This window comes from Homo sapiens, chromosome 17 (genome assembly GCF_000001405.40).
Source record: "Homo sapiens chromosome 17, GRCh38.p14 Primary Assembly".
In the NCBI taxonomy this organism is placed as follows: Eukaryota; Metazoa; Chordata; class Mammalia; order Primates; family Hominidae; genus Homo; species Homo sapiens.
The window spans coordinates 33,534,539-33,558,892 of NC_000017.11; the positions used below are offsets into that span (position 1 = coordinate 33,534,539).

Genomic DNA, 24,354 nt, shown 5'->3' on the forward strand with positions numbered 1-24,354 from the left:
AGGAAACAGACATTCATGTGCGTAGGGTTTGCAAGGCCTCTGCATATGATGTTGCTCTTCATCCTCCCAGCAAGCTTGGGTATGTATTGTTATCCATCACCCCATAAAGGAGGAAAGGGAGCCTCAAAGAATTCCTAGAACATTGCCAAATGACCTAACGTGTTGCTGTTAGATCTTAGACTAGAATTCAGGTCCTGTGGCTCCAAAGCCAGTGCTCTATACCGAGGGGCACCTCTAAGCTATAAATCCCTTTCAAAGTGCTCTTACTATTTGGCCTCATTCTCTGTGTATGAATGCTTAGAATTGAGAGAAGAAGTGCACATTGATGTGAGGGGGGCTTATCTGGAAAATCAGGAGGTTGGAATGGATCACAAATAATACTCCTGGTTCAAATGCATTGGCAGACCAGTCTAAGTGCCTTATGAGTATCATTTCCTTTGCTTTCCTTAGCAGCGCAGAAATCCTGTGGGGTAAGTATTAGGATTGTTCCCATTTTTCAGAGATGGAACTGAGACTCACAGTAGTTAAGCAACTTGCTCAAGGCAGAGCTGGGGTGGGGCCAGAGGCAGAGATGAATGGCCATCCATCAAGGATTCCTGCTCCCTTGCAAAGACTGAATCTGTGTAGGGAAGTGGTTGCCTGGCCAAAACCTGCATTTCTCAGGTTGCCTGCATTAGAAGAGGCCATGTTGACCAGTTCTTAGCAATGGATATGGTGGGAATAAAAATGTCGCTTCTTTTTTTTTTTTTTTTGAGATGGAGTATCACTCAGTCGCCCAGGCCGGAGTGCAGTGGTGCGATCTCGGCTCACTGCAAGCTCTGCCTCCCAGGTTCATGCCATTCTCCTGCCTCAGCCTCCCGAGTAGCTGGGACTACAGGCGCCTGCCACCATGCCCGGCTAAGGTTTTTTTTTGTATTTTTAGTAGAGACGGGTTTCATCGTGTTAGCCAGGATGGTCTCAATCTCCTGCCCTCATGATCTGCCCGTCTCGGCCTCCCAGAGTGCTGGGATTACAGGCGTGAGCCACTGTGCCTGGCCCCAAAAATGTCACTTCTTAGTGGAAGTGGTTATGAAGCTGATGTGCCTTCTCCTCTCTCTATCGCCTCCTGCCAATAGACATTAATCCCTTGACTGACTTCAGAAGCCATGTGTGGTGTTGAAATCTTACAAACTTATTCTGAAATGCTTCCAAAAAGCAGAACAAAGAAAGATAAAATTGAAATTAAAAAATAAAAAAGAAGTCGTGTATGGAGGAGGACAGTGTCCATCAGCATGGATCCCTGAATGACCACGTGAAACAGAGTTCCCACCTCTACTCCAGCCTCCCCACACACTGCTAATTGCACGATGCATAAAAGAGACATCAACTTAAATTGGACTAAGTCGTTGAGATTTCAGGAGGTATTTGATATAGCAGCCAGCCTTATCCTGACTAATACAGAAGAGTCTTGTTTCCGAGGTGCATTCTCTTCACTGCTGCACCACAAAGTGGCCTCGGGATTGTTTAGATTTATGGAGATAGTAGAAAATGTTCTCCTTATTCCCTAGCCCAAGAGCAAAAGTGTGTTGGTATTTTTTTCCACCTGTGAAGGCTGGGGAGTATACGGGAGTGACGTTCATGTGCTTCTGAGCCGCTTCCAAAATTGACCACTCCCTTCAGTCTTCTCATCTCAGTAAATGGCACTAGCATATACTCAATGGCTTGGCAGTCATTTTGGATTTCTGTCTTTCCTTTGCCCCCACATCCTAACTTTCAACAAGTCCTGTAGACTCTACCTCAAAAATAAATTCAGTGGGTGCTGGAACTGGCTCAAGCCAACTTGTGAGAGCCGACTGTCAAATTGTTAGAAATATTGGAAGACAGTTGATGTCATATTGAAAGTTTTAGGCGGCCCATGGTGGAGGTATTTGCACTATGGAAATTGACAAATGCTACAAAATAAGGTCACCCTGCTCCCAACAGAGCAGATTGTTAAATGCCTACCGACACATCCACTGAATATTTTCCAAGTTTCACCTTTTCTTACCACTTGCACTGCTACCACCCAAGTCATAGCCACTAGCATCTCACCTTATCTTGCATATATGACTGTAGTAGGCTCCTAACTGGTCTTCCTGTAATTTTCTGCTCTTTCCCAGTTAACTCCTCACACAGTAGCCAAAGTGATCTTTTAAAAGTGTAAGTGAGGCCAGGTGCAGTGGCTCATGCCTGTAATCCCAGCACTTTGGGAGGCCTAGGCAGGTGGATTACTTGAGCCAAGGAGTTCAAGTCCAACCTGGGCAACATGGTAAAACCCTGTCTCTACAAAAAATTAGCCAGGTGTGGTAGCACTCACCTGTAGTTCCAGCTACTTGGGGCAGGGGGAGGGGTGCTGAGGTGGAGGAATCACCCGAGCCTGGGGATATTGAGGCTACAATGAGCCATGATCATGCCACTGCACTCCAGCTTGGGCAACAGAGCGAGACCTTGTCTCAAAAAAATAAATAAAAATGTAAGTGACACCACATCACTTCCCTGCCCAAACCTCTCTGGGCCTTCCCATTGCCCTTAGAGTAAAATTAAAATTTCTTTTTGTAGTTTACAGAACTTTACACATCTGGCATCTGCCCACCTTTCTGACTCAGCCTCTGCCACTCCTCTCTCACTCATCGGTCTGCAGCTGGGGTGGTGGTGTATCTGTTCCACCAACATAGCTTGTTCTGGTGTCAGGGTCTCTGTGTTTGCTGATCCCTTTGCCTCAAATGCTCTTCCCCTTGATCTTCATATAATTTGCTGTTTTACATCATATAGGTCTCTGCTAAAATATCACCTCCTCCTAGAGGCCTTCCTTGAGCTATCTAAAATAGTCACCTCCCGCCCACCCTGCCACAGCACGTGCTTCCTGAAGTTATGTTATGCATGTGTTCACTTGTTTACAAGTGAAATCTGCTGCTTCTACTGAAATGCACTTTGTGAGGGTGGGAATCTTTCTTTGTTCACTGTATTCTCAGTGCACGAACTGGTGTCTGGCACCAGAAGATGCTCAATATGCCTACTGCTAAATGGACAAACACATACCTGATCTTCAATATGACATGATTGAATGTAGCCAAGTCAAGTCAGCAGATGCTCAGATCATAATGTGGGTGGAGGTTCTGGAAGGCAGGGCCTGCAAGATAGTTGGAAAGTTGGATGGGCTGACTATGTCCAAGGACCACAGGGCAAAGGGGGAAACCAAGGGAAGAATGAAAACAGAACAGAAAGTTTGATAGGGTACCTGGAGGGAGAGTGTACGCCGAGCCTCAGGTCAGTATCTGTCAATGAAGCGTCAGAGTGTGTGTCTAGGAGGGGCAATAGGAACAGGATCTAGATAGATTTAGCCTAAAGCCTCTTTGTTAGGGCACCAGAGAAAGCTAATCCCTATCTATAACTTTTTCACTACGTGACTTCGGGCAAGTTACTTAACCTCTCTGATTCTCAGTTTTCTCTGTAGAAAAGGGTTAATGATATCCTCCTATGGCTGGTGGGAGCACTAAAGGAATAGAAGATTAAAAGTCTTGAGTAAAATGCTTGGCATGCAGTAAGTGTTCAATAAATGCTTAGTAACTGCAAATTTCCATACTCTTTTTAACCTTCCTGCCTGTAAATGATCACTCTTTTTATTGTCTATATCCTTTAGTTGGACCTTAGAGACAGGAGAAGCAGGGTATGGAAGCTAAACAGGACTTAGAGGTGAAAATGGTGAATGATTAGGTCTCATCGCATACCCCTGTAGGCAGAGTTGGGATGGCTAATGAGAAGAGGTTAGGAGGTATCAAAGGCTCCATACAGACACGGCCAGTGGGAGGACCTTGGGACAGTCCTCATTCCCCATGGCATCCACAATGGGATCCCCAATTTGTTCTCTGAAGTGGCATCTTCTACCTGGAGGCCTTTTTTATTGAGACTTACAGCATGGAGGAGAACACCAAGAAGGACTGAGAGGGATGCAGTGGGGACTTACCAAGGTCACAAGGCCAGTGCTTGGCAAAGCCGGGATAGAAACCCAGTTCCTCTGACTCAGCCCAGCACTGTCTATTCCACCTTCTACTCTGTATCACCTCATGTAGGAGCTGCTTTTCCAAAGGGGCATCAGCTGCTCCAGAGCATGATCTGTTATCCCCTCTTTGTATATCCACATTAACAGTTGTTCAACCAATGCCTGTGGAATGGAATTAATTCAAGGGCAGGTTTTTTCTACAAGGTAGATCCATGCTCTCTTTTGAAGAGGCATGCCCATGGCATGAGGCTGTGAGGATGAGATACTTGGAGGCTCAGGTAGATTTAGAAATAGAACAGTGAAATTTGAGTTTAGTAATGAATACTTACTAGGAATAGGATAACAATCTTCTAAATCTATAAAGTGCATTTTAGCCCATAAAACCCATTCAGACTCTCATTTTCCCCCACTTCTCCCAGCAAGCAAGTCTGTGGGTGGACTCAGAAGAGGTTAATGTCCCATTTGCAGTTGAAGAGACTGAGGCACAGACAGGGAACACAATCGCCTCTGATGAGCCACGTGGCCTTAGGCTAGAGTCTGAGAAAGGGTGACTATTGGCTACTGTAGTACACACTCCTATCACCTGCAGATGGAGCCTGCAGTGCCCCCAAAGAGGTTAATTTCTCACTAGCAGATTCTTTCTCAGACATCCAGCAGGTGACTTGCATTTTAATGGACCCCAGATGCTTATTGCTTGCAAAGAGGTCAAGTTTCTAAATGGGCAGCCAGATGGAGAGCCCTTCTGGACTTTCCCTGGTGTCAATCAAGGCTGCGCCTGCCATTGGCGCCTGCTTTTCTTGCCCTACAATGGTGCTAGCACCTTCCATGCTAACAGCTTCCTCCTTCTGAGCCCCTTTCAGGGCTCAAGGCTGGATTCCAAGGTGGAGGGCAGGAAAGCTGGAAGCATAGGCAGGGCAGCTCCAAATGCAAAGATCTGAAGACCCAAATGCACATTCTTTCCTGTTTGCCAGGGAAACATGTAGACAACTTTAACATTCAATGCCTTGTAGAAGTGCAACCATCGTGCATCACCACATATACAGTACAGACACCAATAATTAAAACCCAGCCCCTGTGCCTGGGGCCTCATGGCTCGTGCAGCACGTTCACAATTGCTCTCTCATTTGATTCTCATAGGAAGCTCAGCTCAATCCTTGACTAGCTCGGGTATTTACTGGCTGCCAACTGTGCCAGGTGCTGACCTTCGGGAGCTCACAGTCCAGATGGGAGACAGGCACATAGCAGGGAATTACATGGGAGAGTGCAGGGAACAACATGAGACCCATGCAGTGTCATGGGAATGAGTGACAAGGGACTTCTGTCGAAAAGGTGCTATCCAGGCTGAGGAGTTAGCCAGGTGAAGGGGCAGGGACAGCGGAGTGTTCCGGGCCAAGAAACAGCATTTGTAAGAGCCTAGGACTGAAAGAACTCAGCACTTGTGTTCATTTCCTTGGGCTGCCATAACAAAGTACCCCAGGTTGGGCACCTTCAACAACAGACAGGGATTGTCTCACAGTTCGGGAGGCTGGAATGCCAATATCGAGGTGTCGGTAGAGTTGGTTTTTCTGCAGCCTCTGAGGGAGCATCTGTTCCAGGCCTCTCTTCTAGCTTTTGGTAGCTCCAGGTGTTCCTTGGGTTGTGGATGTCATTTTCTGTGTATCTTCACATCCTCTTCCCTCTGTACATGTCTGTCTCTATAACCATATTTCCCCCTTTTCTCTAATGACACAAATCATATTGAATTAGGATTCACTCTAATGACCTCATTTTAATTTGACCATCAGCTAAGATCCTATTTCCAAATAAGCTCACACTCAGCATAGGTAGTAGGAGTTAGGACTTCAATATATTTTGGAGGGGGGCACAATTCAACTCATCACAGCACTTCCCAAAGAATGGGAGGTGGCATAAAGATTGAGGGGGAGGACAACAAGGGGAGGTCAGGCTAGCTGGTCTACCTGGACCCTCTTAGGGAGGGTTCATCAGCCATGATGAAGACTTTGCAATTTATTATAAGGGCAAGGAGTGACCCATTTTCGCTGCCCTCACATAGAGTTAGTTAGTCACTCCTGTGAGTTCTTGGACTCACTCCTGTGAGTCTCTCAAGAGTACTTTCCTAGGTGGGCGGGTATAGGTTTCCCTACTTGATGGTGCATTCACTGAGCATAGGGACCAGGTCTTCCAAGTCTTATTATTCACTGGGACCTACCAGCACAGAGATCAGCACACAGGACACGCTTAATAAGTGTTTATGAATCTAACACATTTAGGTCAGTTATTGCATCAGCTGAATGAAGAGCTGTCCCTTCATTTATATGTGCTTTTCACACATTTCACATCGTTGTTGCAATAGACACAATCCCTTTTGCACATCTTCATGTATATTCTTGATTTCTCAGGTTGAAATGTTATTTTCATCTTCTTAAAAAGAGAATCCTTCATTACATTCGCCCAGACTCCTGTGTCTTATGTGGTTTACAAAAGAGATCTGACTGGGCATGTTGTTTTTTTTTCTTAGGGAAAAAAAATCAATGACTTATTTGTGTGTCTTTAATGTAGAGGGAAGTAGTAGAATTGGTTTTGCCATCTTAAGGTTGACAAGTTTAATACTTAAGACAGGGTTTATTCAATCCCAACATTGTTAGAGCTTGTAAAAGTTTAATGATCTACTTCTAGGATTTAAGATTTGACTGAGTCTCTCTCTCTCTCTTAAATTTTACTCCGACAGGTTTGCTCTGAGAAAAGCAGGATTTTGTAGCCCTGGCCCCAATCTTTGGACTTCTGCAAAACGGGAGATCAGAAACCCCACAATGTCCCCCCCGAACAGAGTGATTGAGTGGCTGATAAATCTGTGGACATGTGAAAATGAAGTGCAGCTTGCTATATTATAGCATCCAAACTGCAGGGGAGCCAACAAACATCTAACTCTGCCCACTCATTTTACCACTGGGGCGAACGAGGTTCAGGGAGGAGCAGGGACTCACCTGAGCCCAGGAATAGGGAGGCTCAACGGAAACTCAGGCCATTGTTGCAAAGCACATCCTATCTGCAGTAAGGTGAGGACTGTATCATTAGGGCTTCCACTTTCTCAGGACTTTGGAGATTTCTGGCTCCCCAGAAGCCTCATGGAAAGGAGTGAGCCACCTTCATGCATTTACCTACTCCCAGAGACTCTAATGCAAGTGCCCCTTCCCAAGCAGCCACTTCTCAAGCACATCACTACTACAGGTACTCCATCTCCAGGTGTGGATCCCAGGTGCTCTGCTTCCATGCATCCTTCACCTGGTTTCCCAGGTCCTTTGCTTGGTCTAGTGCAGGGTTAAGACCCACTGGACAAGAGTTTGGGAGCTCTGCCCTTACAAGCTGTGATCTTAGGCAAGCTTCTTTATCTCTCTAAGTTTGTTTCCTCATCAATTTCATGGGAATAATGAAAGTTTCTATCTCATAAGGTTCTAACAAAGACAACAAGACCAATGAATGCAAAATGCTGAATACACTCTCTGTTGTATACTTAAATACTTGACTCCTTTGGTTGTGTGTGTAGATTCCAATTAGTGGGAAGCAAAAGTCACTTCAAATCAATCTTCATTGTTGGACATTTGGGTTGGTTCCAAGTCTTTGCTATTGTGAATAATGCCGCAATAAACATACGTGTGCACGTGTCTTTATAGCAGCATGATTTATAGTCATTTGGGTATATACCCAGTAATGGGATGGCTGGGTCAAATGGTATTTCTAGTTCTAGATCCCTGAGGAATCGCCACACTGACTTCCACAATGGTTGAACTAGTTTACAGTCCCACCAACAGTGTAAAAGTGTTCCTATTTCTCCACATCCTCTCCAGCACCTGTTGTTTCCTGACTTTTTAATGATTGCCATTCTAACTGGTGTGAGATGGTATCTCATAGTGGTTTTGATTTGCATTTCTCTGATGGCTAGTGATGATGAGCATTTTTTCATGTGTTTTTTGGCTGCATAAATGTCTTCTTTTGAGAAGTGTCTGTTCATGTCCTTCACCCACTTTTTGATGGGGTTGTTTGTTTTTTTCTTGTAAATTTGTTTGAGTTCATTGTAGATTCTGGATATTAGCCCTTTGTCAGATGAGTAGGTTGCGAAAATTTTCTCCCATTTTGTAGGTTGCCTGTTCACTCTGATGGTAGTTTCTTTTGCTGTGCAGAAGCTCTTTAGTTTAATTAGATCCCATTTGTCAATTTTGTCTTTTGTTGCCATTGCTTTTGGTGTTTTGGACATGAAGTCCTTGCCCATGCCTATGTCCTGAATGGTAATGCCTAGGTTTTCTTCTAGGGTTTTTATGGTTTTAGGTCTAACGTTTAAATCTTTAATCCATCTTGAATTAAGAAAATGTGGCACATATACACCATGGAATACTATGCAGCCATAAAAAATGATGAGTTCATGTCCTTTGTAGGGACATGGATGAAATTGGAAACCATCATTCTCAGTAAACTATCGCAAGAACAAAAAACCAAACACCGCATATTCTCACTTATAGGTGGGAATTGAACAATGAGATCACATGGACACAGGAAGGGGAATATCACACTCTGGGGACTGTGGTGGGGTGGGGGGAGGGGGGAGGGATAGCATTGGGAGATATACCTAATGCTAGATGACGAGTTAGTGGGTGCAGTGCACCAGCATGGCACATGTATACATATGTAACTAACCTGCACAATGTGCACACGTACCCTAAAACTTAAAGTATAATAAAACAAAACAAAAACAAAAAAAACAAATCAATCTTCAGTTTGTGTGCCAGGGACAGTGCCCAGACTCCCAAGTGTCTTTGGGGCCTCTATGCAAAATAACTTTCACCCAGTACTCTCTCCCTTTCATGTGAGAGGTAGTGTCAGAAGTAACAGTGAAAGCTTGAAAGTACAGACTGTAAATGGCTCAAGTTGCATCTCCCTGGAGCCCCTATTTCAACATAGTTTTGACCAGAATGTTGGTTTCAGCTGCAAGCAATTGATTGGCCTATACAATTCTGTCATCCCAACAACTGATTAATTCATCAGTAATGAAACTGTCTGTGGTCCCTGCTAGCATGCGAGCTACCATTATCGAGCATTTATTCTTTGTCAAGTTCCCCAAGTACTTTACGTACATTACCTCGCTTAGTACTCTCAATAAAGTCTTATTACACAAGCCTTGTTATTCTGCTCTAAGCATGAGGAGCCTGGGAGGTCAGTTCAGAGAGGTTAAGGAAGCTGCCCAGGGCACAGAGCTAGTAAACGGAAAAGCTGGGATTTGAACCCCAGTCTGTTTCAGTCTTTCAGCCACATTTTTAAATAGGCTTACAGGGGAATAATTTATATACAGTAAAGTTTACATTTTTTGAGAAGAGAGTACAGTACATTTTGAGAAAGTATACAGTTGCATAAGCACCATACAGTAAAGCTAGAGAACCTTTCCCTAACCCAGGAATTCCCTTTTGGCCCTTTGCAGTCAATCTGTTCCTTTCAACCCCAACCCCTGGGAGCCTGCAGTCAATGATTTGTTTTCTGTGACTATGCTTTTGGCCTTTTCTAGGGTGATGTATGAATGGAATCTTGTAGTTTGTAGTCTTTTGTATTTGACTTCTTTCCCTTATCAGAATGGTTTTGAGATTCATCCATGTGGTCGCCTGTGTCACCAGTCTGTTCCTTTTCAGTGCTGAGTAGTAGACCATTGTGTGAATAAGGTATACCCCACTTTGTTCGTCCACGCACCAGCTGATGGACATTTGGATTGTTTTTAGTTTGTGGCTATTATGAATGAAGCTGCTATGAACATTTGTGTACAAGTCTTTGTGTAACAAATGTTTTCATTTCTCCTGGGTAAATACCCACGAGTGGAAATTCCTGGGTCTCAGGTTAAGTGTATGTTTAACTTTGCAAGAACCTACTGAACCATTTTCTAAACTTTCTGTACCTTTTTAAATTCTCATCAGCATTGCACTGAAGGTTTTGTTCAGCTACATTTAAAAATGTTAGACTCAACATCTACCTCATTCTGAGCCGGGAGGTTGAGAATAATGAATGCTACATTTCGTTGACTCTAAGATGCCATCAATTTTAAGATGCGCCATTATTTTACATACTGCTAAGAAAGAAAAGCATTTCACAAATGATGACACAATGCTTTTATATCACTTAGAAAAAATTTTGCATACTTATTAAAATAGCCCATATATCACCCTTATACATACATAAAATGGAAAATACAAATGAAAAAAAATATAGGTCGGGTATTCCTAGAATGTGTATTCACCTTTAGAATCTTCTGATTTTTTTTTTGACTCCAGTCCTCAGTATTTATATTTTTGTCCCCCGGAGTTTCCCTGTGTGCCATCAGCCTGTTGATGGTGCAGCATTTTTAAAAGAGTGCTCTGTTACTGTCTCCAAGAATTATTTTCAAGAAAATCTCAGTGCTGGGAACTGTCTTACTTGACTACACTCATATTTTACACCCCTCTACCCACCCAGTTGAATTATGTATCACCAGAAGTTAAGTAGCTTCTGTTCAAATTTAGTAAAATGATTTTTGGCAAATTGATATTTGTTGCCTTAAAGATAGCCCTACTCCATAGATAAATCAGTCCCACCAGCCTCTATTGCTTTACAATTTCATTAATCCTTTTTTAAAGAAATATGACAATTTATCCTGCCTTCAGTAGCTGTTGGTTCTATATGTTAAGCAATGCACATAACCCAGCTGAAGTTTTGACAACATTCATGGCTGTGAGACCCAGTCCACACATGTATGGGCTGTGATGACTTCCTTGTGACTTGCTGTCTGACAGTGATTGAAAGACGTCTTCATTTGTAGGAGACAGTCTGATCTTAGGGACATTAAAATTGAAAAAAATTGTGCATCTTAGAGCTCATTAAATGCAGCATATTTTACCCGAGACGCGGATTTCTACTGTGCTCTATTTTTCAATATCCCCCAAATTCCCATAATAGACAAGAGAAACATCTGCTTCATTTTTGGCCACTTCTTTCTCCCCAGCCACCTCTAATCACAATGATTCTCCTCTTCTTAACCACTTCTGTCACCTTCATTCAATGCCCATTCTCTTTACCATAGCTATTGCAAAAACCTCCTCACTTCTCTAATTGCCTTCTAGAAATTTCTTCTCCTTCAATCAGTCCTATTTATTATTCCCAGAGTAATCTTGCTCCTATAAAAATCCAAACATGTAATTCTTCTTCCTAAAACTCTTTCTTGGATACTTATTATTTAAAGAATAAAGTACAACCTCCTTAGCATGACATTCAATTTATTTTACGTTCTGGGTCCTACATTTTGCCCCAGCATTATTCTCCACCATTTCCCACTCCAGGCACACCCAACTATTTGGTGTTCTCCAAACGTGCCTTGGACTTTCCCTTGCTGGGACTTTTCCATTCTGGAATTCTGTTTATGCTTTTGTCTAGAATTCCTTCTCTTCCTTGTTCCTATTGAAGGCTGTTCATAGAAATGAAGCATAATGCTCATTCTGGTTGTATTAGCATGATGCATTTATGGGTGAAGTTTTCTCATATATATGTGCATATATATATGTAAATATATATACACATATGTATATGTAAATATATATACATAAGTATATGTAAATATATATACATATGTATATGTATATATATGTAGACACACACATATGCACAAATAGACACAATCACATATATTCATCTTATTCATTCTTAGTTGCTATGTCCTCTATGGAATTTTCTTTGTGCTCTTTAATTGGATTCCTTCCTTCATGTTTTCTCAACACCTGCTTGTACCTTCGATTGCAGCATCTTTTGCTGTAAAATGGAGATAGGAGAAATGCATAGGCCTATTTCAACAATTAATTCAATTACATAGACTAAGGGTGCTAGAATTTTGGAGGCACCCGAGTATGATGAAAGACATCTAGAACTTGGCATCAGGCAATAGTGAGACAAAGCTGCAGCCCTGTCACTTTCTACCTATGCGACCTTGGGCACATAATGTAACCTCCTTGACTTGTGTTTCCTGAAGTTCCTGAGCCAATGTGAGCCCTCCAGACACCTTGTAGAACCCCTTCTCCATAGAGAAGAAATGCTGGGAAAACTGCCAAGTGCCTTCCTGAGTCCTCATGGGTAGGGCAATTCTGTCCCTCAAGTTACCTCCTCCAGCCCTTGGTTCATGTTTTGTGGAAGAGATGGGGCTTGAAACATTTCTCTCTCCTCTTACAGATTATATACGTGTAGCTGGCACAGGACCTTGCTAGCACAGGACCTCACTCCCAGCTCCTCCTGCAGCTCAACATGGCCAGGTGACTGGTTCTCACTAAAGCAACGTGAGTGGAAGTGACAGGTGCTACCTTGGGGTCAAGGCTTTTAATTTGCAAGTACCTCTCCAGGCTCTCCTATTTCATCTGCTGGCTGAGTGCAGATGACAACTAGGACCTAGGCTAGTGCTTCTCAAACTTGAGGGTGCATCAGAACCACCTGGAAGGCTTGTTAAAAAAGGTTGCCAGGCCCTACCTCCAATATTTCTGATCTGGTGTCCCAGAGAGGGGCCTGAGCATGTGCATTTCTAACAAGTTCCAGGGTGACGCTGCTGCTGTTGATATAGGAACTACAGTTTGAGAAGCACTGTCCTAGGAGACAGCACAGACACAACATGGAAAGGGCCTGGGTACCTAATGACCATGGATGGGGCAGCAGAGGGGGTGGGTCGGTCAATTGGGTATATTCATCTGCCACTATTAAATGATCAAGAAATAAACTTTTAGTGAGTTTGAGAATTTATAGATTTTGGTGAGTCTATATGCATTACAGTGGGTTAATCTATCCTTCAAAGCACTATCCCAGCTATTCATGAGGCTAGAGTCCAGACCCATTGAATTGTCCATTTGCTGGCTGTCTTTCCTCCTGGTCTGGACCCAGCTTTGGAGTCCCTCATACCCTCCCAGGTATCTGATCACAACAGTCTCTGGGCCATCACTCAGAGACTGACAGTCCTAATCTCCTACAAGCCCTCCTGCTCTCTGCCATTGGACCTATGGATAGTCGCCCCATCCTGCAGAAGCCTAGAGTGACCTCCAACCCACTGGACTTGGTAATGAGGACTTTTGGCCTCTCCCTGGCTGGGACAACTCATCCCCCCCATCCTAATTAATTGTCCCTGGTTGCTGCCTTCGCCAGCTTCTGCCCATGCTACACCTGCATCTGAGAACCCCCAGTCCCCTTGCAGAATGCTAGAATGCTAGGAGACAGAATGCTAGACCAGTCTCCCCACCTCATACCCAGTTCCTCAGTTCCAGCACTGCCCAGGCACACAGTAGGTCTCAATGCCTAAAAGCAAAACTGCAGTGACCAATTCTGAGGAAGAGGTCAGGACAAGAGGAATGACAGATGGCAGCTGATACAGCCAGCCATCACAGCCAGGCACAAGATACAGGTTCAGTGTCACTCCAGCAAAGTTCTTGGAGCTTATCAGAATGCAGTCTCTCAGACGTTAACAGGGAAATTGTGTGATAATTATATATTAAAAAGTTTAGCAAGTATTAAGAGATCACTAGTTCAATAAGCATATGAAAGCTCAAAGCAGGATTCATGCCATTAACTCAAATTACATGAGCCGAGTCTGCTGTCGTCTCCCTTTTAAGCAGCACATCAAGGAAAAGAGGTGCTTTCATTGGATTATTAAAAGGATTTAATTAACATGGAATACTTCACAGGAAGACAACCTATGACAGAATAATTAAAATATAGTTTGTTGAAATGCACATTAATTGGCTACTAATTATCACATTTCGTTCCCCTTTATGGGCTAAAGATACGCTCAGGAGGAGACATGGCTCTGTGCAGAAGTACATTTCCTTGCTTGTTCCGCTCAGTGTTTAATTAGAAGAAAGGACAAAGTGCTTCACTCTGCAATTCTAGAAAACTAGATTGGAAGTCAGAGCGAGCAAATGAGGGGTATTATTGCACACTGGCCATGCATTGTAGTGGGAGAGAGCATTGGACTGGGAGTCTACAGGCCTGGGTGTTCCTCTCCTGCTCTACTCTCCATTCACCATGGGTAATTACCATGCTTAAAACAGTTCACGGCTGCCCTTACCATTGCATAAATTCCAAATCCCTACTATCTGGTCAGTTATGGTCAGACACTCAACTGTTTTTCCAAGATTCCCCACCTTGCCCATTCCACTCTAGCCATGCTGACCTTGCTGTACCTTAAGCAAGTCAAGGTCATTACCACCACAGGACCTTTACACTTGCCATTTTCTCAGCCTGGAGTCTCTCCCCCTGAAGCTTCATATGGGACTTCTTCCCGTCATTCACAACTTAGTTCAAATGACTTCTCAGAGGGCTTCCCTGACTATCTAATCTAGTGTTGCCTTCTTTATTCTCTATCACATCACAGTGCTTTATTTTACCCCCAGATGTAACACCATGGGATTATCTTGAGTATTTATTTGTTCACTTGTTTTGTCTGTTTCTTGTATTGTCTGTTTCCTCCACTTGAACATATATGCTATGAAGGCTGGAACTGTATGTTTCCTTGATGCATTGCAGCTCCAGCACCTAGAACAGTGCCCGGGACATGGCAGGCATGCAATAAATATTTGTTGATTAAATGAATAAAAATGGCAGTGGAGCAAGAAGACCTCTGAAGGTCCTTTTAGCGCGAACACTTTAGGATACTTTGAACATGCAGAGAACCAAAAGAGACATAAAGGCTGCAGAAGACAGGGTGCATCTTAACTCGTTTTAGGAACCCCCTACTGGCCCTCAGCAAAGCTTTGCTGATGATGATCTTTCAGAAAGCATTTGTGGCTTGGGGTCCGTGCAAGTCTGCAATTCTAGGGTTCTCAAGAATCATCAGGATTCCTGACCATCTCTCCTTTTCAAAGCTATAATCATGGGGTCATCACTTTAAAAACTCACCTCCTCTCTTAATTTTTTCTTACCTGCTTTAACCTGCTTCATGGGATTCTAGCAAGACCAAGACCTTCCTTTCAAGGCTCATTTTGCAAATTAGCCTAGATTGTGGCTGACAGATGCTGCCTATGGCTGTTGAGTGGGCATGCTTGTTTTTCAAATGAAGAGTTCAGATCCTTGGCATTATGAAAGTACTTTCCTGGGTTCTAAATCTACAGTCCTGTTCTTTCCTCCTTTAGGGAAATCTGTGAAACATAATGGATGATAGACCAGGTTTTAAATCTTCTTCCCCAAAAGAGGTGGTCATCCTCCTCCCTAATGCTTCTGCCTGCCTCACTCCATGGTGCCTGGTCACTTCTTCCTCCTCCACCTCAGTGACTTGGGTGACAATGGGCTTTATCACCTCCCTGCCCTTTGTGAACTATTGCCTTCTCATGGGGCGGCTAAACCTAGGGACGCTGAGACAGCCTTGAGCCAGAGGCCTGGACCAGCTTCACCTCCAGCATTTTGCCAGATGCTTTCTTTGGCTCTGTGTTTCTGGTTTTTCATCTCAGAGCAACTCCTTATCCGAGCACAGTGGAAATTCAAATTTCAGAGTTGTAGGTGAGAGCTGAGATAAATCAGGCCCTCCATGAGGTCCAGTCCAGCTCAGTGGAGTTCTGCACAGTCATTTGGGGCCAGAGGTCCAGATAGTAATAAAGCATTGCTTTGTCTACTCTGTGAATATATTGTAGAAATAGTTTATGGAGGAGTGCAAATACCGGAACGATCTCAAGCAGTGTTGTTCTAAAGTCAACTTTTAAGGCAATATCTCCTTTGCAAGTTTGCAATCACAGTAACTGCTGCGGTCTGCTATGTGAGTGCTGGTGGGCTCTGCTGGGCGACAATGACTGGCAGGCGATATCATGGGAAGAAAGGGCTCACATGTGTGATGTTAACAGGGCGGGACAAATCACAGTAAACAGCTGCAGTGATGTCACAGGACCCTCATGGTTAATTCACATACTGGGATAGCTCTTGTTTACATTCTGGGACAGTAGCAACTGCTTTAAAGCTCTATTGTGTAGTAGTTAAACAGCAGAGGCTGAAGAGCCAGACACTCTAGGTTTGGTCCTGTCTATATCACCTACTGGCTACTACTGGGCTTTGGTTTCCTCATTTAGAGAAGGGATAATTGCATCCCTTGTAATCTAATGGAGAGAATATTAGCAAGAGGTATGATGAGCCCAGAGTGGAGAAAACAATAACTGCTGAGTAAAGAGATTATGGTTTCTAGAGAAGGTACATTTGCAGTGGCCCTCTGTGCATGACTAGGAGTTTTATAAGCAAAAGAAGCTATGGCAAGGACAGGAGTATAAGCATAGGGAAAGTGATAGTAGTGATGGTGGAGAGGAGACTACATTTTAGGTAGGAAACAGCTTTTGTGTGACTGACCTGTGAATTGTAGTGGAACAAGAACGTGAAAAGATATGTTGAAGCTCTGGGTGGGCTTAATGCAAAGCTAAGAAATTTGGACTTTGTTCTGTGCAGGATTTCTTTTATTTTTTCTGGATGATATTTTTATGCCTAGAAAATAAATAATATTTATCTTAAGCTCACTGCAGAAAACTTGAATACCAAGAAAGTGTAAAGAAAAAACAATCATATGCAAACCTACTACACAAAATAATTGCTGTTAACATTTGGTCGGATGTCTTTTCGGTGCTTTTTCGATGAATATGTATGCTGATCTAGCATTATGAAAATGTTATCTAGGGAATATTTTTGAGCAGGAGAGTGTTGTGCAATTAGGTTTGCATTCCGGAAAGATTCTGGTGGTGGTGGCTGTGGGGAGGAGGGCTAGATGAGGTTGCAGCCAGAGGTCAGGACGCTGTTAGGACTCATTCTAGTCCAGGGGAGGAATGATGAGGGCATGGGCCAAGGCAGCACCTGTGGGGCTGTGGAGAAGTGACACCTTCACAGGAAGAGACACCAAAGACAAAAAACTGCTACCTTCGTCAAGTCAAACTTGAAGTCAATGGCTGTACCAATGACCAATCAATGGCCACTAAGAATATCTTCTCTAGGATTCTGGTCTACTCCCAATCAGATGCCCATAGCTTGGTCTTCCATCCTAGAAAATGCTCTTCTCCTTGTGAATAATTAGATTATAGACATCCTTCCCCTAGGACCCCCAGCTCTCTCCAAAAACTTCACTGTGCTTCCTTCAAAACTCAGTAGGAGGGATTTTTAGACTGTTGTTCTGAGATGCCATAGCCATCAGGATCCCTTCGATGTAAAAGCCAGATATTGTCCTCACAAGGGAACTTGGCAGCATGGCTCTTCTGACTCTGCAGGTGCGATGCCACTCACCTCTCTAACCTCAGCCATTGTTCTCCTCCCTTCCACATCCCTCCCCAAACCAGCTGCCACCAAGCTGTGACCAGAAAATGAAGGTTGTCACAAAGGAGCCTGAGGCTGGGTGTGAGAAATGAGATGTGTTGTCTGTGATGGGGGAAGATTGAGAAACTGAATAATTGGGGGCCTGAGAACCAGGCTCTTCAGACAGTCGGGATGGGCTCACAGCATGGAACACATTAAAATCTCATTGCCCACCGCTTCCCGGTAGCCTCTGCTGCCTCGCTTCAAGTGCTGTTTTATAAGCAGTGTTTGCAGAGAGTTAACGAATTTGAAGGGGCCCTGAAAGGGAAAGGGCCTCTGTTGAATAACTTTTCTCTTACTAGAGAAAATGAGAGATGGTTTTCCTTATAACCCAATTTCCAAAGCCTTTTATTACAGAGCGTCAGGAAGATTTGCCTCCTGCCAGGCTGAGTGGGGCTGGGCCAGCTCCCTAGAGAGCTTAGAGATGGTTGGATGGCTGCTGGAGGCATGGAGGGTGGTCAAACTGATAGAATCAATACAATCTTCCCTCAGTAACACAAAAGACCTTTGCCAACTCATGCTTTTTGCACTGATTTTTCTCTCCTGAAACCATGAAATGGGAGGTAGCATGTAGCATGATGGAAAAGTAACAACAGGGACTTGGTGTCCAGCAGACGTGGGTTCCAGTTCCAGCTCTTGCACTTTCTGACATGACTGCAGTTTCCTACTTTGCAAAAGGAAAGACAATATCTGCCTGAAAGGCTGCCATGAGTGAGGGTGAGACAATATGTAAAGTCCTGGTACATTTAGACTCTCAACATCTCTTCTTGTTCATCATAGATACTTTGAATATTTCTCAGCCAAAGATCAACCAGTGGGATTTGTGCATTTTTTGAGGTAACAATTTTAGGGCAGTGATTTGTCAAAAGTTACGTACTGAGTTCCAGACAAAGCTGGAAGCCAGATGGTCAGTGGAACACTCGCGTCAGGTATTCTGTTAGTGCAATGGGCATGGCTGTTAATGGTGGAAATGTTTCCCCAGGGAAGTGCTGCTGGGCTCTCTTGCACCGCCCTGGAGCTGGGAGGGGAAATGCATTTGCAGTGGGTCTCTTCTCCCTCCCAACTGAACCCTGGGCCCACTGGACAATGTCTGTAGAAGAGGGGCTCTGAGCAGCAGGGACATTTGAGTCACTTGTTCTTTGGGGCTTAGGACTGGTCAAGAGAAAGGGACTCCTAGAGTTCTGGCAATCCTCCCCTACCCTGGAGTGGCAGAGGCCCTAGTGGAATTGGAGTCCTTTAAGGAAACACCAAATCAATGCAGTGGAGGCACTGCATATAATCTGAAGGGTAGGGGTCTTCTCTGGGGCCAGTGAAGGTGTTGCTAAGAGGGTGGGTTGAGATAGCACTAAGCTGACATGTGAACAGGTGGTAACTGAATATGTGGTTTATTTTGGGCTTTAGAATAATGAGTCATATTCATAATAACCAATTGAATGTTTCTTGCCTCAGAGCTTCCAGAGACCCCAAGACAACAGGTGTCACAACTTAAAGGGGTAAGACTTGCAAAGAGAGGTAGAATAAACAGCTTTATGTCTCATCACCTCTTCAGCTCTGATAAAGGAGATTGTTTGGGAGGCAGATCCTTTATTATTACTATTATTATTATTATTATTATTTTGAGATGGAGGTCTCTCTATGTTGCCTGGGCTGGCCTTGAACTCCTGGGCTTGAGCAATCCTCCCACCTCAGCCTCCCCAAGTAGCTGAGACTGCAGGCGTGAGCCACTGTGCCCAGCTGAGAAAGCTTCTTTAATACCAGATAACCTTTATTGAGTTCTTTCCATGTGCCAGGCATGGTACTATGTGCTTTCCATCTTTAACCCAATTCATTCTCACAACATTCAATTATGTGGTAGTAGATATTATTATTATTATTATACCTATTTTGGTGATGGAGAAGCTTAGGCTAAGACAGATAAAATAACTTATTCTAATGTCTCACACATACTAATGAGGCTTAAATGACTGTATGAAGCACTTTGTAAAGCAGAAGGACCCAGCAAAGAACTTTGATTGTTCTGCATGAGGCAGGTAGACGTTGAATCTGAGTCCTTCGTTTTTTCCCCTGCAGTTGAGTTCTCTTCCTAGGTGCAATTCAAGCATCCAGAAACAGCAGAAATGCTTAGGATCAATAAATTGGGTGGCAGTGCTGTTAGGCAGTAAACTTAGGGGAGAATTACACAGGGCAGCCATGAAGACCCAATTCTCTAATGCCTGGGGAAACACTTTGCAAATTGGTCGGTGATGTTTTTAACTGCCTTGGATGGTTTCCTATGAGTGAAATTGTTCTGTTTGGAAGGTGGCTTTAGTTGGAGACAGTGTTATTTGATTGTGTTGAATTCAGTTTGAGTCTACACAAATATGACACAGAGTCTCTGTCCTGAGTGGGTTTGAAGTTTAAGTGGGGGAAGGGAGAGAGATAGTAATGGAGTTAGACTATTTTAGCATCACTGCTTATATGTGTGTGTGTGTGTGTGTGTGTGTTTGCACGTGTGCACGTGTGGTGGATGGGGATCAATTGAAGGGAGTGACCATAGAAGGGCTATTGTAAAATAAATGAATCTCTACTATGTCAATAAGATAGGCTTAGGGGAAGGGGTATTTCAAGATGTGGGAAGAGCACATGCAAGGATCCAAAAGGGCCTGGGGTTGCCAGTTCAAAGACCATCAACCTATGTACCAAGCCCTGCTAGTGTCTGTGGCTAGGATCATTTTCAAGTGGTTCTTCTGTCTTCTGTGCTTTTTGAGGAAGAAGTTGACAGGCAAGGGAGGTGGGTCTGAAAGGAAGGAATGGCCAACCTGGCTTCAAAAGAAGCACCACCAGAGGGTACATACAGTCCTCACCACCAGGGAGGATCTATGCCTGAGGCTGGCCGGGGACTGAGCTGGGGGAAGTAAGGCTGAGTGATATTTCATATCTTTCCTTACTGAGAAGTGACTCTCAGTGAGACTTTTAAGACTGAAACACATCTGAAATGAACTCCCAGCCACACTAGACCATAAATAAAAGGGAAGGAGCCTCTCACATATCAAGGTGAGGCTGAGGGTTTTAAATAAATTTTTATCCCAGTACTCTCAATGACTCTGCAAGATACCCATCATTATCTCCATTTCTAGGTGATCAGTAAAAAGTGGATTTGAAGATCAAATCCAGATCTGTCTGGCTCCAATGTCTATGTCTCAAATGCTCATCCTCTCCATGTCTCTTCCGGGTTTCACAATGGTCAGATGTCTCAGAAAGTTATGGGCACGCGGGTAACAGAATGGTCCGTGGCTACCTAACCTACTATTCCCTGAGTTATGCCTGTAGTGCCCTCCTAGCTAGGTCCCACTTATGCTTTTGGTCCGCTGCTGATTAAATGAATGGATTTAGAAGGTACTTGTTTTCCAGTGTAGACGGAGTAGTCCAAATTCTTGTGAAATAAGGACAATACATGTCCTATTAACAGCTGACACCAAAATATCTTTTAAGAATGATACTATTTGTTTGGAATATAACACATTCTTGGGGGTGCAAAGTGAGACCCCCCAGCAACATGTGTATGAAGATAACTGTTCTTTGAGAGGCAAGGTAAAAATTTGCTTGCTACTCTAGAAAGACAGGAAATGAAAAGTGGAAAAATAAGAGGTGATGAGGAGAGAGAGATGGTGAAAAGCTGAGAGGTGCAGGATGTGACAGCCCAAACTTTGAGCTCATGAGTTAACCCAACTCATGAAATTCTTGGTCCAAATGACACTGTCATAAACCTATGAAAGGATGGAGCTTATGCTCAGGTTACCATGGAGTAGAAATTGGACCTCAGGTGTGAAGATCAGGAACCGAGATAAGGAAATCCAGGAGGATGTCAGCAGTCAGGAATTCAAAGCAATCATGGAAAGAACTCTGGACTCCCACAGGCCTTGATTTCGGGGTTTGAGCCGGTTTAAGTACATTTTCAAGGGATACAGGGACTCTAGCTGAGTTCTACCAAATTGAACTTCTAGCACTCTCCAGAGCAAGATGAGATTCAGCTCAGATAAAAGCATTCTGTTTTCCAGGACCTTAGAATCCAGGTATATAACGAAGGCTACCAGGAAGGATCTGTTGATCATAGCCCAAGATGCCTCTTGGAAAAGATACTTATTTGAATATCTTAAAGATGACAGCCGCCCATTCCTGCAATGTGATCCCACAGCAATGTGGACACTGGTTTCCCAGCAGCTTCATCATGAGGTAGACAAGTGTAATGGCTGAGAGTAAAGGTCAGAGCCAGAGATTAAGGGTCTGTGGGTGCATCATGGTGTTACCACCCTAAGGCTATCAACCCACCTTGGACTTCTGCCAAGGGGAGAGGAGACATGGGGAGAAGAGACAATCTTAAAGAGCAAGTTACACAATGAACTGAGTAACTGGAGTTCCTAGAGGGGCCTAAGGCATAAAGCAGAGATGCCTTGGAGTTTAAGAGCCCTGACAAGATGTGGCATAGCTGCCTCTCCACTCACCTTGGCTTGAGAATGACAGCACGTGGGAAAATCTGAGAGCTGGGATGATGTTACAGTTGATTTCTTTCCTGTCTCTATGACCTTGTAATGCCAAGGAGCCACTGGATGACAATTATTTACTTAGAGCTTAAATACGTTTAAATTCAGAAAATTAAGCACAGCTCTCTTCTAGGTGCTTCAGCAAAATTTTAAACTTTTGTGAAGCATAATGAAATAGATTCTGCTAATCTAAAGGTTTGTGGCTGCATCAGACACCCAAGTTTGGTAATGAGTGAGGCCTCTGGAGCTAGAAAGTCACAGTCATCTTTGAGGGAAGAACTTTGTGGAATTTGGAGGTATATGTATTAGTGTTTACAGGTAAGCTAGCCAGTGATGACTATGATGATTTTTCTTTCCATCTGCCCTTTAGTTACCTACATAAAAAGAAGCCATTGATCCTCTCAGCATATTTCCATTTCCCATATTCCCCTAAGTTATTCCCATAAGCATATCTTAGCAAATTCTGCTAGCAGTAGAACATGTCTTGGTCTGTGAGAGGTGCCTTAAGTGTAAGCACAGGTGAGGGAGGAATGGTGGAAGACTTTCTTGCAATTAGCTCTTCCTGTTCTATGCAAGAGCCCTTCTTGGACAGCTGCTTTTGCAGCATCTGTCTCTTTGTTATCATCATCACATTAGCTAGTATTTGTGGAGCATCTTAAGTGGAGCAAGCACTATGCTGACCACTTTCCAAGAATATTTCTACCTTACTTCCTATAATGTGGTAAATATTCCCACCTTATTCAGTATAAGGTGGCCTTTTTCCTTTTTGGTCTCCATTTTACAAATGTTAAGTAACTTATCTAGTCCCTAGCAAGTAAGTGAAAAACCAAGTGTAGTCTCAGGTCTATATTACTCTAAAGTCCCTGCCCTTAATCTCAGAAATTGTTTCCTAGTCACTATCCTCAGAGAAGAAAATCATTGAAATAATTGTATTCATTCATTCATTCAACATCAACTAAATACCTACTATGTGCTAAGTGCAATGTTAACAGTCAAGACTACAAAGATGAACATGGCATGGTCCCTGACTTTAGGAAGCTCATGGTCTAGGCGTGTAAGTAGATGTTATAAAAGAGAATAATAGGATAATTGCAAGCATCTCAACAGAGCATTATGGGAATACTAAAGAGGAACCATTCTGCATTGGTGGAAGGAGGAGTGTTAGAGTTGAGAAAGAAGATGAGCCTTAGAATTCTTGAGATTAAAAACTAAAAATGAAACTCAGCTTGTCCAAGACATATTTCTGCAGGGTTTGCCGTCTGACTATATGATAACACCAATGATCTCATTTTTCAAGACAAAAAGTTAAGCATTTTATTTACACATCCCACTCTATTATTCTCCATATCCAACTCATCACTATATTATACTAAATATCCCTCCTAAAAATCTTTTGAAAACATCTACTTATCTCCAGAGGCATAGCTACCATCCTAGCATAATCTATCATCATTATCTCTCACTTGAATCTTGGCAGTAACCTTCCAACTGGTCTTCCCATTTTCACTCTTTCTTTGAGCTTCCTTTTCTCTGCAAAGACTAATCTGTTACTCATTTGGACCATATTTTTTCTAGTAGAAAATTTACATTTATAATATATATTTTAAAGTCTTTACTAAACCCAACATTTGGGCCTTCTTGGTATCTATTTCTATTAAAGATTTTTTTCTTGCGTATGTGTAGGGTCCAGCCCCACAGGGTTGGTGGGTTTCTCCCCGTGTGTGGAGACGAGAGAGTGTAGAAATAAAGACACAAGACAAAGAGATAAAAGAAAAGACAGCTGGGCCCGGGGGGCCACTACCAGTCCGACCCTGTGGGGCTGGACCCTACACTATGGATCAGAGTTTTCTATTTTTATTCATGTTTAGTAATTTTTGTTGTATCCTGGACATTATGGATGATATGGCATAAATATTCTGGGTTATGTTATCTTCCTCTGAAGAGTGTTCAGTTTTGTTCCAGCAAATTGTTCAGTTTCTGGCTGATGACCTTGAACTTTTAGAGATTTGGTTTTATGCTTTGTTGGTGGAGGAGGAATTCTGTGGTGTTCTCTAATCTCCTCTAACTTCATAGTACTAAAATTTCAAAAATTCCCAGTGAATCTGGTTGAGGATTGTTTTTAGACTTTATTAGAATACATCTAGTGTAGTCCTTACTCAAGGACCAAGATCAGCAAACTTTCTCTTGAGGGCCAGATAGTAAACATTTTAGGCTTGTGAACCATATGGCCTCTGTAGCAAATAATCAGCTCTACTACTGTAACCTGAATGTAAATGAATGGGCAGGATGTGTTCTAACAAAACTTTGCTTATAAACATTGGTAGCTGAACCAAGAGCCATAATTTGTTGACCCTGCCTGAGGACATGATCCTTACTGTTGTTGTTTTTTTTTTAGACGGAGTCTGGCTCAATCTCAGCCTAATGCAACCTCTGCCTCCCAAATTCAAGCAATACTCCTGCCTCAGCCTTCCA

The 24,354-nt window shown here is 43.3% G+C and overlaps 1 protein-coding gene and 1 long non-coding RNA gene across 2 annotated transcripts in view; one reads left to right on the forward strand and one right to left on the reverse strand.

The window, feature by feature from the left end:
• On the forward strand, positions 1-24,299 carry LOC112268206 (uncharacterized). Its single transcript, XR_002958160.2, has 3 exons — positions 1-79; positions 12,245-12,348; positions 24,278-24,299. It is a non-coding gene; the product is annotated as an uncharacterized LOC112268206 (long non-coding RNA).
• The window catches only part of ASIC2 (acid sensing ion channel subunit 2), a 1,143,682-nt gene that overhangs the window by 521,452 nt on the left and 597,876 nt on the right, over positions 1-24,354 (reverse strand). The gene's annotated exons all lie outside the window — the stretch shown is intronic.